Consider the following 17229-nt stretch of genomic DNA (forward strand, 5'->3'; position numbering starts at 1 on the left):
ATCCCAGCTACTCGGGAGGCTGAGGCAGGAGAATCTCTCGAACCCGGCAGGAGGAGGCTGCAGTGAGCCGAGATCGCGCCACTGCACTCCAGGCTGAGCAACAAGAGCAAAACTCCGTCTCAAAAAAAAAAAAAAAAAAAATGGGAGACTGAAGCAGGGGAATTGCTTGAACCCAGGAGGCGGAGGCTGCAGTGAGCTGAGATCGCGCCACCGCACTCCAGCCTGGGTAACAGAGCGAGACTCCATCTCAAAACACAAAAGGAATGCTATAGCTCCTAACATGCACCCACTTCTTTGCTACACTCTTACTTACCAAAGGATTCTTGTGTCATGCCTTGCTTTTCACTTAAAGATTCATAGAGGTATGCCACGTCTAAAAGAAAATCAATCAAATCAGAAAAGTGGTGGCCCCTGTGCAAACTGAGAACTCATTTTTCTCTTCTGTTCTCCAGTCCATTTGTTTTTGTTGATTATTTTGACTCATCAGCTAATAACAAATTCATCAGTTTAAGAGATTTCAAAACAAGTAATCTAAAACATCTCTACCAACACAAAAGAAATAAGCCTCGGGAAAAAATGGCATCAGGAGGCAGAAGAAGGTGAAGAATCTATGCCTCACTTATAATTTCAAACTACACAAAGGAGCAGATACAAGATCCTTCCGTGTGGCCAGGGGCTGGTTAAGTTTATGCTGAAGATGCCTAAGACATATTTGCCCCATTCTCCCTCACCACTGTGGTCTTTAGGTATTTCAGGGGTGGCCAGGTGCAGTGGCTCTTGCCTGTAATCCCAGCACTCTGGGAGGCCGAGGCGGGCGGATTACCTGAGGTCCCAAGTTCGAGACCAGCCTGGCCAACACGGCGAAACCCTGTCTGTACTAAAAATACAAAAATTAGCCGGGTGTGGTGGTGTGCACCTGTAATCCCAGCTACCTGGAAGGCTGAGGCAGGAGAATCGCTTGAAACCAGGAGGTGGAGGTTGCAGTGAGCTGAGATCACGCCATTGCACTCCAGCCTCCGCAACAGAGCAGAGCGAGACTCTGTCTCTTATTTATTTAAAAAATTAAATAAATAAGTATTGGCCAGGTGCAGTGGCTCATGCCTGTAATCCCAGCACTTTGGGAGGTTGAGGTGGGTGGATCACCTGAGGTCGGGAGTTTGAGACCAGCCTGTCCAGCATGGCAAAACCCCGTCTCTACTAAAAATACAAAAATGAGCCGGGCGTGGTGGTGGGCACCTATAATCCCAGCTACTCAGGAGGCTGAGGCAGGAGAATTGCTTGAACCCGGCAGGTGGAGATTGCGGTGAGCTGAGATTGCGCCATTACACTTCAGCCTGGGCAACAAGAGCGAAACTCTATCTCAAAAAAAAAAAAGTATTTCAGGGGTGACCTTCGAAGGACTCCCATAACTTTCCTTGTCCTATACTGTTCTTCCACAAAACAAAAACGGGACTTCTGGAGCTGAAAAAACTTACTGGAATCCAGTCTAACCTTTGATGTTTCTTGTAAGGTCTCCAAAAGCAGAACCATCAATGGCCTCCAGACCCCTGGTCCTAGGTTTTATTCCCCATAACTCAAGTTCTTCTCCTGTAGAACCCAAACCATCCCCATCAGTTTCTCCTTGGCTGCCATTTTGGGATTGGCTGCTCATGGCCACAGTGGTATTCCTGAGGAATGGCTGGGCTCAGGCTGCAAAGTCGACACTCCCACTCAACAGACACTATTCACGGCAGGAACCCATGTGAGCAAGAAATGGGGTGTAGCCAGGAGGAACGTTCCTATGGGAAGGGATGTAGCCAGGAGGAACGTTCAGAGAGCGCCCTCACGTGCACCCCCGTGCGGGTCTGACCCCGGCAAGCCTTCCTCTCTCTTACTGTGTTCCGGTTCATTCTTCCTGTACACCAAGTAGATGACATCCCCAGTCTGTAAAGGGCATGTCTGCTTCTTAACAACCTTCAGCTTGTTAATCACTGTTCCACTGGTGCTGTAAAAAAACAAAAACACAATTTATTCTACTTAAAATAACTTGGAGTTACAAGATTTTTTTTCTAGCACCATTAGCAAGCAGCTCGATATGACCACTCTGGAAATACTCATAGGAACAGTGTAAATACGTAACGATGCACACATCCACGCACCCCTCACCATTCTCTCAAGAAATGGCTCGCCCACTTCTCCCTGACTGACAGCCTAACCAGCCACTACACCTCCTCACGTGCTTGGCAGCTCTGCTGCTGCAGGGCTGGGTTCTCTCCCCGTTTGCCTCCTAGTGGACCCGGAGGCCTCGTCTACAGTGTGGTGCTTCCACCTCCAGCCTCCCCTGAGCTGGACTTGTGCTATCCACAGTTCTGTTCCTTGCAGCCATCACAACCCCGGTGAACTCATGCCTCCAATGAGTACTGATCCCTCCCAAGAGACTGGCTCTGGGCAGAAGCGGACTAAATGCTGGGCCGTCAGCTGCAGGACATGGCCCTGCACTCAGAGCTTGTGGTCTGGCTGCCAAGCCCCTTGAGGTACTCTGCCCAGGGAGAGGCCAATGCAGATGCTGCTGACCCAGGGACAGACAGGAGGAGGCTAAGTTGATGGGGCAGGAAGTGCCTCCTGGGGACTTCTGAGCAGAGACCTGACAGCAAATCAGGTGTTGGTCAGGTGACCAAGATCCAAGAGCACAGCATACCCGACACACAAAACGGCAACCGGGCAAAACGACTGAAACCACACAGGCCTCAGCTCTGCAGCTTCACTCCCGAGGCCCCAGCAGTGGACAGAACTCACATCCGAGTGACCACCACGGTTTGCTGAGGGATGGGAGTGGCAAACGATTTCCATAAACAGAGGGTAAACAGTGTAGGTTTTGTGGTCACCATTGCCACTACTCAGCTCTGCCGTCTGTAGCAGGAAAGCAAATGCAGACAGTAAGCAAATGAACTGCCACAGCCGTCTCCCCGTAAAACCTCCGAAACCAGGCAGTGGCTGTGTGTGTCTGAGTTCTGCTGTTACAACACAAAGCTGACCCTGGAAGATGCGGTTTTGAGCTGTGCAGATGCACTTATACACGGGTTTTTTTCAATGAGAGGGAATGAATCCCACACATATGCTGGACTGACTTTCTGTGTCCTCCTGCTCCACAGGGCTGGCTACGGGGCTGGAGTGCACACGGACTTGGGTGCATGCAGGGGCGCTGGAGCTGGACTGACTTTCTGTGTCCTCCTGCTCCACAGGGCTGGCTACGGGGCTGGAGTGCACACGGACTTGGGTGCATGCAGGGGCGCTGGAGCTGGACTGACTTTCTGTGTCCTCCTGCTCCACAGGGCTGGCTACGGGGCTAGAGTGTGCACGGACTTGGGTGCATGCAGGGGGCTGGAGCCAATCCCCCCAGATGCCGAGGGGCGACTGCAGCCATCACTCATCCTCCTGTTCTTTCCAAACAAAAATCTGATTATTTCACTCCTCCGCTTACACCCCTTTGATGACTCCTCACTGCTCTCAGGCTAAAGCCCAAGCTCCCTTGTGTGACTTTGCCGCTCACCACACGCTCCGACCACACAGCCCTGCTTATGCTCAGGGGCCCCTACACACGTGGTTCCTTCTGCCTGAGCACCCCTCCCCTCCAGCCCACCTCTGCCAAGGAACGTGGCACCTCTGGAACCTGGAAAAGGCAGAGAACAAATTCTCCCCTGGAGCCTCCAGAAGAAACCAGCCCTGTTCAGACCTGGATTTTAGCCCCATCAGACCCATATCGGACTCTGGACCTCCATAACTATAGTAAGACAGCAAATTTGTGTTTTTTAAATCCATTAAGCTTGTGGTAAATTACAATAGCCATAAGAAAGTACCACCACCATGCAGTCAGCACAGGGATGCCATGCCCTGAAGCAGGCGGGACGGCCCAGGACCAGCACCCAGCGTGGGGAAGCCAGGCCCTGGAACAGGCAGGGAGGCCCAGGACCAGCATTCAGCGCAAGGAAGCCAGGCCCTGGAACAGGTAGAAAGGCCCAGGACCAGCACCCAGCGCGGGGAAGCCAGGTCCTGATGTAGGCGGGAAGGCCCAGGACCAGCACCCAGCACAGGGAAACCAGGCCCTGGAACAGGTGGGAAGGCCCAGGACCAGCACCCAGCGCGGGGAAGCCAGGCCCCGGAACAGGCGGGACTGCCCAGGACCAGCACCCAGCGTGGGAAAGCCAGGCCCCAGAACAGGCGGGACTGCCCAGGACCAGCACCCAGCGCGGGGAAGCCAGGCCCCGGAACAGGCGGGACTGCCCGGGACCAGCACCCAGCGCGAGGAAGCCAGGCCCCGGAACAGGCAGGAAGGCCCGGGACCAGCACCCAGCGCGGGGAAGCCAGGCCCTGGAACAGGCGGGACTACCCAGGACCAGCACCCAGCGTGGGGAAGCCAGGCCCTGGAACAGGCGGGACTGCCCAGGACCAGCACCCAGTGCAGGGAACCCAGGCCCTGGAACAGGCGGGACTGCCCAGGACCAGCACCCAGCGCGGGGAAGCCAGGCCCTGATGTAGGCGGGAAAGCCCAGGACCAGCACCCAGCACGGGGAAGCCAGGCCCTGATGTAGGCGGGAAAGCCCAGGACCAGCACCCAGCGTGGAGAAGCCAGGCCCTGATGTAGGCAGGAAAGCCCAGGACCAGCACCCAGCATGGGGAAGCCAGGCCCTGAAGCAGGCGGGACAGCTAGGGACCAGCACCCTGCCTTTCCCATTGTGCCAAGAAATAGAGAACTTAATCTGATATCTATTAGACTAGGAAACGGAGCATCAGTTCTTCCTATTAAAACCTACTTCCTAGTCTTCTATCCCTGAAACTATCAGTTACCAAAGAATCTCACAGAGCCTGATCTTTACCAAACAAAAAAAATCCTGCAGTGAGAACAGCACACTCTCAACATACTGCTAGAAGACCACCTGCCACTTGCAGCAGATTTAAAAGACGCACATTCTGGCCGGGTGTGGGGGCTCACACTTGCAATCCCAGCACTTGGGGAGGCTGAGGCAGGTGGATCACCTGAGGCCAGGAGTTCAAGTCCAGCCTGGCTAGCATTGTGAAACCCCATCTGAGCTAGGCGTGGCGGCGGGCACCTGTAATCCCAGCTACTCGGGAGGCTGAGGCAGGAGAATCGCTTGAACCCGGGTGGCGGAGGTTGCAGTGAGCCGAGATCGCACCAACAGCACTTCAGCCTGAGCCACAGAGCGAGACTCCGTCTCAAAAAAGAGAAAAAAAGGAATAGGCACATTCTGAGTAACACTGACACAGACTTCCCTTCCGAGAAATCATCCCAAGAAAACAGACATGAAGGCAGAGTTTGGGAAAGAGTCACTGCAGTGTTATTTATAGTAAGAAAAAGTCAAAACAATAAATGTCCACCAATAAGGGAAGTGACAAAGAAACTATCCTAAGATAATGAAAAGATGAGCTGGATGTAGATGCAGTGACATGTGAAGCGCTCCATAAAACACCGTAAGTGAAAAAAGCTGGCCGGGCGCGATGGCTCACGCCTGTAATCCCAGCACTTTGGGAGGCTGAGGCAGGCAGATCACCTGAGATCAGGAGTTCGAGACCAGCCTGGCCAGCATGGTGAAATCCCGTCTCTACTAAAAACACAAAAAAATAGCCGGGCTTGGTAGTGTGTGCCTACAATGCCAGCTACTCGGGAGGCTGGGGCAGGAGAATGGCTGGAACCTGGGAGTCGGAGGTCGCAGTGAGCCGAGATCGTACCACTGCACTTCAGCCTGCAACACAGTGAAACTCCATCTCAAAAAAAAAAAAGAAAGAAAGAAAAAAGCTGACGCTACAACAGTATGTGTAGTGTGATTGCATTTATGCAAAATATATATACCAACATATGCATTTTTAACGTATGAATAGGATTTTGGAAAGCTTTCCACTTTCCAAGTTGAATATCCCTAAGCTGAATGTCCCTAATCAGAAATGTGAAATCCAAAACTTTTTGAGCACCAACAAGACACTCAAAAAAATACTCACTGGAACATTTCAGAATTTTGATTCAGACATGCTCAACTGGTAAGTATAATGAAAATATTCTAAAATCTGAAACAATCCAAAATCTAAACAGTCTAGTTTCAATCATTTCAGATACTCAATCTGTACTTCAGTTGTACAAGAACGAGAATTTATTAGTTTTAAAAAATGATTTTTTGATTTGAGGGAAAGAAATCAAACTTGAATAGGCTTGCAAGAACCAAAAATTACCAGCATCTTTTAAGTCTTATTTCTGAGACATACTTAATTTGAATACATTCAAGAAGGGTCATAGACACCAAAGTGTCACTAAGTGTCCCATCCTGGAAACCAGGAAATACATCTTCTAATACCTTGGGAGCCTAATTAACTACAGTCATGCCCCAGATAATAAACTTTTGTTTCGTTTTGTTTTGAGATGGAGTTTCACTCGTTTCCCAGGCTGGAGTGCAGTGGTGCCATCTCAGCTCACCACAATCTCCGACTCCCGGGTTCAAGTGATTCTCCTGTCTCAGCCTCCCGAGTAGCTGGGATTACAGGCGCATGCCACAACGCCCGGCTAATTTTTATATTTTTAAGAGAGACAGGGTTTCTCCATGTTGGCCAGGCTGGGCTTGAGCTCCTGACCTCAGGTGATCCAACTGCCTCAGCCTCCCAAAGTGCTGGGATTACAGGTGTGAGCCACCGCGCCCGGGCTGATAATAATGTTTTTTTCAACAGACGCATATACGATAGGAGTCCCACAAGATTAAAATATCATATTTTTACTGCACCTGTTCTGTGTTTAGATAAATACTCTTACCATTGTGTTACAACTGCCTATAGCATTCAGTACAGTAGCACGCTGTATAGGTTGATAGCCTAGGAGCAATCGGCTATACCATATAGCCTAGGTATGTAGTAGGCTACACCATCTAGGTTTGTTTAAGTATACTCCATGATGTTTGCAAGATGATCAAATTGTCTGACACATTTCTCAGACTGGATCCCTGTTGCTAAGGGACACATGACTGTGCTGTTATAAAAATGAGCCGCTGTTATCACACTAAAGACAGCATTTCTTCTCCTCCTCAGCCGTGGCACACAGCACAGAGCACGAAGTCAGGCTTCTTAAGCTACAAGAAGAAACACCAAAAGAAGCTCAGAACATACTCACCTGGTATCTTCCAGTGTCACCTGACCTGATTTTTCATCCACTACAATTCTACAGTGATCTCCAGAGACCAGTTTATTGCTGGGGAAGGAAAGGTCGCAACCTAAAAAAGAGAGGGTGGGTCAACACGGGATATGATCGTGGTAACTGTGAACACTACTGCACTTTGTTTACCAAAGTATGTGGTTCCAACTCAGGATCCCCATTGTACATATGTAAAAAAAAACACTTGACCAAGAAAGACATAAAGAAATTTTTTTTTTTTTCTTGAGACGGAGTCTCGCTCTGTCGCCCAGGCTGGAGTGCAGTGGCACCATCTCGGCTCACTGCAAGCTCCGCCTCCCAGGTTCACACCATTCTCCTGCCTCAGCCTCCAGAGTAGCTGGGACTGCAGGCGCCCGCCATCACGCCTGGCTAATTTTTTGTGTTTTTAGTAGAGACGGGGTTTCACCATGTTAGCCAGGATGGTCTCGATCTTTTGACCTCATGATCTGCCCACCTTGGCCTCCCAAAGTGCTGAGATTACAGGCGTGAGCCACCGCGCCCGGCCCATCCTGAACCTTTCTGAATCCCCACCCTCTCAAAGACACCCATCAATACCTCCAGTTACACACAGCCTCTTAAATGGCAATTTTACAGCCAGGCGCAGTGGCTCATACTTGTAAACCCAGCACTTTGAGAAGCTGAGGTGAATGGATCACGAGGTCAGGAGTTCGAGACCAGCCTGGCCAACACAGTGAAACCCCATATCTACTAAAAATACAAAAATTAGCTGGGCATGGTGGCGGTTGCCTATAATCCCAGCTACTTGGGAGGCTGAGGCAGGAGAATCGCATGAACCCAGGAGGCAGAGGTTGCAGTGAGCTGAGATCGCGCCACTGCACTCCAGCCTTGGCGACAGAGCTAGACTCCAACTGGAAATAAAAAAAAAAAAAAGCAATTTTACAATATGCTTGCATACACAGCTAACCTGATGAGTATTATTAGAACTTTAAAAAAACTCAGGGGGTTGGCTAGGTCCGGTGGCTCACACCGAGGCGGGCAGATCACAAGGTCAGGAGATCGAGACCATCCTGGCTAACACAGTGAAACCCCATCTCTACTAAAAATACAAAAAATTAGCCGGGCGTGGTGGCGGGCGCCTTGTAATCCCAGCTACTCAGGAGGATGAGGCAGGAGAATGGCGAGAACCCGGGAGGAGGAGCTTGCAGTGAGCCGATATGGCGCCACTGCACTCCAGCCTGGGTGACAGAGCAAGACTCTGTCTCAAAAAAAAAAAAAGAAAAAAAAAAACTCAGGGGCTTAAGTAATTCTTCAGTATCTTAATTTAGTCCTTAATTTCTTTTCTGTGTAAACTTAGGTTTCATAAATCAACATAAAATTGAAGCAATGACAGTCACAGAAAAAGTGACTGAGCCAACTGTGATAGGCATTTGTTTTTTTTTTTGTTTTTGTTTGTTTTTTTTTTTTTGAGATGGAGTCTCGCACTGTCGCCCAGGCTGGAGTGCAGTGGCACCATCTCGGCTCACCACAACCTCCACCTCCCAGGTTCAAGCCATTCTCCTGCCTCAGCCTCCTGAGCAGCTGGGACTACAGGCATGCGCCACCATACCCAGCTAATTTTTTGTATTTTTAGTAGAGACGGGGTTTCACCATGCTGGTCTTGAACTCCTGACCTCTTGATCCACCCGCCTCAGCCTCCCAAAGTGTTGGGATTACAGGCTTGAGCCACCGCACCTGGCCTGCGATAGGCATTTGTACACGTATAAGAAACTGCATCTTATATACAGGGATGCATCTATAGCTGAATACAGTAATTCTGACACTTTGGGATTTTTTTTTTCTTTTTTTTTTTTTGAGACGGAGTCTCTTTCTGTGGCCCAGGCTGGAGTGCAGTGGCACGATCTCAGCTCACTGCAACCTCTGCCTCCCGGGTTCAAGCGATTCTCCTGCCTCAGCCTCCTGAGTAGCTGGGATTACAGGCGCACACCACCAGGGCCAGTTAATTTTTGTATTTTTAGTAGAGATGAGGTTTCACAATGTTGGCCAGGATGGTCTCGATCTCTTGACCTCGTGATATGCCCGCCTCGGCTTCTCAAAGTGCTGGGATTACAGGCGTGAGCCACCAGCGCCCGGCCCTGAATACAAAAGCAAGAGGGAAAATCCTCAATACTTGCCCTCTCCTTAAATCAAAAGAACAAAGGCGTTTTAATATCTCATCATTAATCATTACTGCCTATAATAATCTATAAGGATACATAAAGATACTAGAAGACAAAAAAGCGAAGGGTTTGGTCAGGAGACAGTGGCATGCAAACATACTTTTCCTAAACGTTCCACACAGAAAGACACCCTGAATCTGCTTTAGCCTGAGCCTTGCTCCCATCACTGACCTATGGGTGTGTGAATCAGAAGACTCAGTATTGTTAAAATGTCAGCTGTCCTCCAGATTGTTTCATACATTCAATGCAATTCCAGTCAAAATCCCAGAGGGCTTGTAGACACTGACAAGCTGATTCTAAAGTTCACAGAAAAAACGTGTAGAAAAACCAAAGCAATTTTGAAAAAGAATGAAGCTGGAAGACTCATATTACTTAACTGACTTACCATCATGCTATAGTAAACAATACAGTATTGTGGCTGTGTAAGGATGGCCAGACAGAGACAAATGTAAAATCTAAAACTATGAAACTTCCAGTGGAAAAGACAGGCAAAAATCTTAGTGCCGTTGGGTCTTGCATGGACTTCGCAGATAGGATATAAAAAGCACAAACCAGGAAAAAATAATAATAATAAGCTGAGGTTTGTCAAAAGTAAAATGTGGGCCAGGTGCCGTGGCTCACACCTGTAATCCCAGCACTTTGGGAGGCCAAGGGGGGGGCGGATCACAAGGTCAGGAGATCGAGACCATCCTGGCTAACATGGTGAAACCACGTCTCTACCAAAACTACAAAAAATTAGCTGGGCGTGATGGCGGGCGCCTGTAGTCCCAGCTACTCAGGAGGCTGAGGCAGAAGAATGGCGTGAACCCAGGAGGTGGAGCTTGCAGTGAGCCAAGATGGTGCCACTGCACTCCAGCCTGGGCAACAGAGCAAGACTCCGACTCAAAAAAAGAAAAAAAAAGTCAATTCTGGGCCAGGCGTGGTGGCTCACACCTGTAATCTCAGCACGTTGGGAGGCCGAGGCGGGCGGATCACAAGGTCAGGAGTTCAAGACCAGCCTGACCAACATGGTGAAACCCAGTCTCTACTAAAAATACAAAACTTAGCCAGGCATGGTGGCGGGCGCCTATAATCCCAGCTACACGGGAGGCTAAGGCAGGAGAATGGTGGGAACCCAGGAAGCGGAGGTTACAGTGAGCCGAGATCACGCCACTGCACTCCAGCCTGGGCGACAGAGCGAGACTCTGGCTCAACAACAACAAAAAAAGTAAGGCTGGGGGCGGTGGTTCACGCCTATAATCCCATCACTTTGGGTGGCCAAGGCGGGCGGATCACTTCAGACCAGGACTTCGAGACCAGCCTGGCCAACAGGATGAGACCCCATCTCGACTAAAAATACAAAAAATTAGCCGGGCATGGTAGCATGCACCTGTAATCCCAGCTACTTGAGAGGCTGAGGTGGGAGAACATGGGAGGTGGAGGTTGCAGTGAGCTGAGATCGTGCCACTGCACTCCAGCCTGGCAACAGAGCGAGACTCCATCTCAAAAAAAAAAAAAAGTAAAAATCTGTTCTTCAAAGATATTGTTTAAAAAGATGAAAAGACAAGCTATGGACTGGTGGAAATATTTGTAAAACACATATCTGACAAAGATCTTGTATCCAGAATGTATAGAGAACTCTGATAACTCAATAAATAGAAAGTAAATAATGCAACTTAAAACAATTTAAACACTTTATCAAAGAAGAGATATGGATGGCAAATTAAGCACATGACAAAATGCTCAACATCATTAATCTTCAGAGAAATGCAAATTAAAACCATGAAATACCACTACACACCAAATAAGAATTGGCTGAAAATACTGACCACGGGCCGGGCACGGTGGCTCACGCCTGTAATCCCAGCACTTTGGGAGGCCGAGGCGGGCGGATCACATGGTCAAGAGATTGAGACCATCCTGGCCAACATGGTGAAACCCCGTCTCTACTAAAGATACAAAAAAATTAGCCGGGCATGGTGGCACGTGCCTGTAGTCCCAGCTACTCAGGAGGCTGAGGCAAGAGAATGGCTTGAACCCGGGAGGCGGAGGTTGCAGTGAGCTGAGATTGCGCCACTGCAAATCCAGCCTGGCGACAGGGCAAGACGCTGTCTCAAAAAAAAAAAAAAAAAAAAAGACTGACCACCTACAAGTGGCCAAAAGGGAAGTGGAAAACCTGGAACTCTCGTACTGTGCTGTGGGACTGCAAAATGGACAAGCACATGGGAAACAATGCGGCAGTTTCTCAGCAAGTTAAACAGACACTGGCCACGTGGCCCAGCAATTCCATTCATAGTTACTTAGCTAAGAGAAAAATGTATGTCCCTACAAAGACTGCACACTTATGTTTATATTAGCTTTATTTCTTACAAAAACAGGAAGCAGTATAAATGTCCATCCACTGGTTGTAAACTAACAAGCCATGGTGCATCCAAACCACAGAACACTACCCGGTAACAGAAAGGAGCAAACTGCTCATCCATGCAACAAGGTGCGTGCCAGGGAAAGAAGCCAGGCGCAGAAGATGATGGCAGACACCCTGTGACCCTGTGTCACGACACGCTGGAAGCAGCAGAAGGCAAAGAAACCAGATCAGTGGCTGCCAGGAGCCGGGACTCAGGGGGACCTTTCAGGGTGACGAACATGTTCTACATCTTGACTGCACTGGTGAGTACATTTCCCAAAACTCATGGAACTGAACCCCAAAAAAGGTGAATTTTACTACAAGTAAATGATACTGCCATGAAACCGGATATTAAAAATCTTATTTGTGCAAACATTCTGTACTATTGGAAGTACTGTATCCAAGGCAAGTATCACCTGTGGTCAAGCTCTTCCCATTCCATTGAGCGTTAACTGCCAGGACAGTCTCCTTCAAGCCCCAAAACCAGTGCAAGTCACGGTGTCGCCAGAGCCAGTTTGTAACAGAGGCGTCTCCATGCCAGAACATCAGGTTTTTTTTTTTTTCTTTGAGACAAGGCCTTGCGCTGTTACCCCAGCTGTGGTGCAGTGGAGCAATCACAGCTCACTGCAGCCTTGAACTCCCAGGCTCATGTGATCCTCCCACTTCAGCCTCCTGAGTAGCTGAGACTACCAATATGCACCACCACGCTCAGCTAATTTTTTAAGTTTTTGTAGATACAGGGTCTATGTTGCCCTAGCTGGTCTCAAACTCATAGGGTCAAGAGATCCTCCTGTTTTGGCCTCCCAAACTGCTGGGATTACAGGCATGAGCCACCGTGCCTGGCCTGAATATCAGCATTCTAATCTGGAACCGAGATGCTTTGTGCTAAAGTTCTATTCACAGCATTTGCTGCGCTTGACGCTTGGTGGGTTAAATCTTTCAAGCAGTTGATGTACATTTCTGCCACTCTCTTAGAATAAAGAGCTCTTGGCTGGGCGCGGTGGATCACACCTGTAATCCCAGCACATTGGGAGGCCGAGGCGGGAGGATCACCTGAGGTCAGGACTTAGAGACTAGCCTAGCCAACATGATGAAACCCTGTCTCTACAAAATACAAAAATTAGCCAAGCATGGTGGTGAGTGCCTGTAATCCCAGCTACTCTGGATGCTGAGGAAGGAGAATCACTTGAACCTGGGAGGCGGAGGTTGCAGTGAGCCGAGATCACATCATTGCACTCCAGCCTGAGAAATAGGAGTGAAACTCCGTCTCAAAAAAAAAAAAAAAAAGACTGGGCGCAGTGGCTCACGCCTCTAATCCCAGCACTTTGGGAGGCCGAGGCGGGTGGATCATGAGGTCAGGAGATCAAGACCATCCTGGCTAACATGGTGAAACCCTGTCTCTACTAAAAATACAAAAAAAATTAGCCGGGCATGGTGGCGGGTGCCTGTAGTCCCAGCTACTTGGGAGGTTGAGGCAGGAGAATGGTGTGAACCCAAGAGGCAGAGCTTGCAGTGAGCCGAGATCGTGCCACTGCACTCCAGACTGGATAAAGAGCTCTTTGGGAAAACAAGGTTGTTGCACCCCTTCCTACACGTTACCTAGGCTTTCCCTTTTCCCCCAAATAATGCCTTATAAATGGCAGGCACATCATTGCTTTAAAATAATCAAGTTCTGTCTGGGCGAGGTGGCTCATGGCTGTAATCCCAACGCTTTGGGAGGCCAAGGCAGGTGGATCATTTGATTTGAGGCCAGGAGTTCAAGACCAGCCTGACCAACATGGTAAAACCTCATCTCTACTAAAAATACCAAAAAACTAGCCAGGTGTGGTGGCACACGCCTGAAATCTCAGCTAGTCTGGAGGCTCAGGCAGGAGAATCACTTTAACCTGGAAGATGCAGGTTGTAGTGAGTGAAGATCGCACCACTGCACTCCAGCCTGGGTGACAGAGTAAGACTCCGTCTCAAAAAATAAATATATCAGGCCGGGCACAGTGGCTCACGCCTGTAATCCCAGCACTTTGGGAAGCCGAGGCGGGTGGATCACCTGAGGTCAGGAGTTCAAGACCAGCCTGACGAACATGGAGAAACCCCGTCTCTACTAAAAATACAAAAAGTAGCTGAGCGTGGTAGCACATACTTGTAATCCCAGCTACTCGGGAGGCTGAGGCAGGAGAATTGCTTGAACCCGGGAGGTTGGAGGTTGAGCCAAGAAGGCACCACTGCACTACAGCCTGGGCAATAAGAGCAAAACTCCGTCTCAAAAAAAAAAATACATATATATATATAAAATAAATAAATAAAATAATCAAGTTCTACAACTGTTAGGAACTGAATGTTTGTAACTGAGTGTCTGTACCCCCCTAAAATTCATATATTTAAGTCCTAATCCCCAATGTGACTGTATTTGGAAATGGGGCCTGTGAGCTGATAAATGTTAAATGAGGTCACTAGGTGGGAATCAGATGTCACAGGGCTGGTGCCCTCTTAAGAGGAGGCAGAGAGAGCAAGCAGAGTCCCCCTCTCTGCCATGTGAGGACACAGCAAGAAAGTGGCCACCTGCAAGCCAAGAGAGCCCTCACCAGGAACCCAATCTGCCAACACCTTGATCTTGGACTTCCCAGCCTCCTGAACCATGAAAATAAATTTCTGGCCAGGCACAGTGGCTCACACCTGTAATCCTAGCACTTTGAGAGGCCGAGGCAGACAGATTGCTGGAGCTCAGGAGTTCGAGACCAGCCTGGGCAACACAGTGAAACCCCATCTCTACTAAAATAGAAAAAAATAAGCCAGGTGTGGTGGTACGTGCCTGTAGTCCCAGCTACTCGGGAGGCTGAGGCAGGAGAATCGCTTGAACCTGGAAGAGGGAAGTTGCAGTGAGCCGAGATCATGCCACTGCACTCCAGCCTGGGTGACAGAGCAGGACTCTATCTCAAAAATTAAAAAAATAAAATAAAATAAAAAATAAATTTCTGGCCGGGCGCGATAGCTCACGCCTGTAATCCCAGCACTTTGGGAGGCTGAGGCAGGCAGATCACGAGGTCAGGAGATTGAGACCATCCTGGCTAACATGGTGAAACCCCGTCTCTACTAAAAATACAAAATACCACTGCCAGGCGTGGTGGTGGGCGCCTGTAGTCCCAGCTACTCGGGAGGCTGAGGCAGAAGAATGGCAAGAACCCGGGAGGTGGAGCTTGCAGTGGGCCGAGATCGCGCCACTGCACTCCAGCCTGGGTGATAGAGTGAGACTCTGTCTCAAAAAATATATAAATAAATAAATAAATAAATAAATAAATAAATAAATTTCTGTTGCTTAAGCCACCCAGAATGTAGTATTTTGCTATGGTAGTATGAACAAACTAATACAATAATCTTAAAGTTTTTGCTGGCAACATTATTTATAAATTCACTAAAATCGTTCCTATTAAAAGATAAACTCAACGACATATTTTCTCTCCTTGTCTTAACATGTAATGTCCTACCATGTAATAACATGTATAACATGTTACAATAACAATGGCTAATGCTAAGTGCTAACGCTAAAGTTCCTTCTAAGCAGTCCGTGTATGATCTCATTAACTCCTCAGAGCAAATCTATGAAGTAGGTACATAGGCGCAGAAAGATGTCGTTAGCCCAGAGTAATGTGTTGACAGATTGGAAACCCACATAATTTGTCTCTAGGGCCTCTGCTCTTCACCAAACCTCCTAGTCTATCAAGTAAAGACAAAGGGAAAAATCTTCAAATACTTCCTCTTGTCTTAAAGGGATAATTTTGATATGTTATGATGATATCTAAATACTTTCAAAGTTGTAAAATAAACTTTGACTTGATACTGGAATGTAAGACTACCAAAACACCCCAAAAAACAAAACCAGGTCAGACACAGTGGTTCACACCTGTAATCCCAGCACTTTCGGAGGCCGAAGCAGGTGAATCACTTTAGTTCAGTTGTTCAAGACCAGCCTGGGCAATATGGCGAAAGCTCATCTCTACTAAAAATACAAAAATTAGCCAGGCATGGTGGCGCACGCCTGTAGTCCCAGCTACTCCGAGGCTGAGGCGGGAGAATCACTTGAACCGGGAGGCAGAGGGTGCAGTGAGCTGAGATCACACCACTGCACCCCAGTCTGGGCCACAGAGCAAGACTCTTATCTCAAAAAAACAAACAAAAAAACAAAAAAAACCAGGTGCAAGCACATTATAAGGGGTGAAATTAACCAAAAAAAAAAAAAAAATTGCTTCCAAACAGCAAATATTTCCCATCCTCGCTCCTTTTTAGAGTATAATGTCGGAGCTAATTCATTAATTTTCAGACAAACTAAACATTTTTGTTGACAGGACCAGCGCATTTCTCTCCCCATACAAAGGCTTCAGAGGAAATCAAACAACCAGATGGTCACTTGGGAGACTGGAGGCAGTGAATGTGGAGGCTGAGGGAACTTTCTCTCACCCGTTGTATGACTTTGTTCAAGTTTTTAGCTTTCCAGGTTTATTAAATAAATAAATATTCTAGGGGCTGGGACTTGAGATCTTTTTTAATATAAGCACTACAGCTATAAATTTCCCTCTGAGTACTGCCTTGGCTGCATCCTAAATACCTTTTGGTGTATTCTATTTTTGTTTCATTTGTCTCAAAACAAGGTCCCCGTTGTAAAGACTTATTTGACCCACCGGTTGCTTTAAGAGTGTGGTGTTTCATGTCCACATATCTGTGAATTTTCCACTTTTCCTTCTATTATTTTTAATTTCGTTCCATTACAGTCAGAAAAGATACTCTGTACGGCAACGAACGTGACAATATTGCATTCTGGAGAGTATATGAACACAACTAACTTATACAGTTGTAACGAAGGCTAAATGATGTGCGTGAATCATGCGCAAGAATCGGTGGGCAGAACACCGAATAAATACCAGTTCTTACATGACATTTCACTCCACGGAAAAATCTGGAGCGCACACTGCACCGCCGCCCGTGTGGCCTGCCCGCAACCCGGTGGCTCTGCCCGGCCCCGGCCCCCGGCCCCGGCCTCAGCCCCGCACCTCGTCTCCGCCCGATGGTCCACTCCCGCTTCCTCAGGAGGACGTGCGGCTCGCCCTCCTCCGCGCCCAGACGCAGGAGCCGTCCCCAGGGCTGCGGCGGCGGCGACTGCTTGCCTTCCTCGGGCCGCTCCATCGGGATTCACATCTGCGGAGACCCCGGAAACGCCCATGGAGACTCCCGACCCCAGAGGCCGAGACTCGGCGCCCGCCCCACCCCGCGGGCCCCGGCCCGGCCGCCCGCGCCCACGCAGCCCCGCAGCCCGGCCTGGACGCCGGCGGGCGCCCCCTCCCACGGCCGCAACCAGGTCCCCCTTCGCCGCCCGCCGCAGCCCCCTCGCCAGCCGCGCTTACCCCCGCCCCGCGCCGAACCCGGAACCGGCTGCGCCGCCGCCGCTGTCAAGAGACATTGCGGCTCCCTCAGCTGATCCGCGGGGCGGGGCCAGA

General features: G+C 49.1%; 1 protein-coding gene across 5 annotated transcripts in view, besides 5 other annotated features; it reads right to left on the reverse strand.

Annotated features, from left to right (window-relative positions):
* CHFR (checkpoint with forkhead and ring finger domains) overlaps window positions 1-17208 on the reverse strand; it is a 55263-nt gene extending 38055 nt beyond the window's left edge. For 3 of the 5 annotated variants that reach the window (NM_018223.2, NM_001161345.1, NM_001161344.1), the window contains 5 exon segments: window positions 314-373; window positions 1875-1984; window positions 7145-7244; window positions 16786-16930; window positions 17137-17208. In NM_018223.2, coding sequence (NP_060693.2) covers window positions 314-373; window positions 1875-1984; window positions 7145-7244; window positions 16786-16918 — 403 coding nt within the window. In that variant the 5' untranslated portion in view covers window positions 16919-16930; window positions 17137-17208. 5 annotated transcript variants of the gene reach the window in all.
* Window positions 2081-2778: an enhancer, noted in NCBI's record as "H3K4me1 hESC enhancer chr12:133449077-133449774 (GRCh37/hg19 assembly coordinates)". NCBI's record gives its function as "activates a minimal SCP1, AML or CMV promoter by ChIP-STARR-seq in naive H9 embryonic stem cells {active_cell/tissue: H9 hESC(naive)}" and the evidence as "EXISTENCE:reporter gene assay evidence [ECO:0000049][PMID:30033119]".
* Window positions 2779-3474: an enhancer, noted in NCBI's record as "H3K4me1 hESC enhancer chr12:133449775-133450470 (GRCh37/hg19 assembly coordinates)". NCBI's record gives its function as "activates a minimal SCP1, AML or CMV promoter by ChIP-STARR-seq in naive H9 embryonic stem cells {active_cell/tissue: H9 hESC(naive)}" and the evidence as "EXISTENCE:reporter gene assay evidence [ECO:0000049][PMID:30033119]".
* Window positions 3475-4170: an enhancer, noted in NCBI's record as "H3K27ac-H3K4me1 hESC enhancer chr12:133450471-133451166 (GRCh37/hg19 assembly coordinates)". NCBI's record gives its function as "activates a minimal SCP1, AML or CMV promoter by ChIP-STARR-seq in naive H9 embryonic stem cells {active_cell/tissue: H9 hESC(naive)}" and the evidence as "EXISTENCE:reporter gene assay evidence [ECO:0000049][PMID:30033119]".
* Window positions 4171-4866: an enhancer, noted in NCBI's record as "H3K27ac-H3K4me1 hESC enhancer chr12:133451167-133451862 (GRCh37/hg19 assembly coordinates)". NCBI's record gives its function as "activates a minimal SCP1, AML or CMV promoter by ChIP-STARR-seq in naive H9 embryonic stem cells {active_cell/tissue: H9 hESC(naive)}" and the evidence as "EXISTENCE:reporter gene assay evidence [ECO:0000049][PMID:30033119]".
* Window positions 17052-17171: a silencer, noted in NCBI's record as "silent region_5131". NCBI's record gives its function as "represses an Ori minimal core promoter by ATAC-STARR-seq in GM12878 lymphoblastoid cells {active_cell/tissue: GM12878}" and the evidence as "EXISTENCE:reporter gene assay evidence [ECO:0000049][PMID:35858748]".

Source organism: Homo sapiens, chromosome 12 (assembly GCF_000001405.40).
Source record: "Homo sapiens chromosome 12, GRCh38.p14 Primary Assembly".
Lineage (NCBI taxonomy): Eukaryota > Metazoa > Chordata > Mammalia > Primates > Hominidae > Homo > Homo sapiens.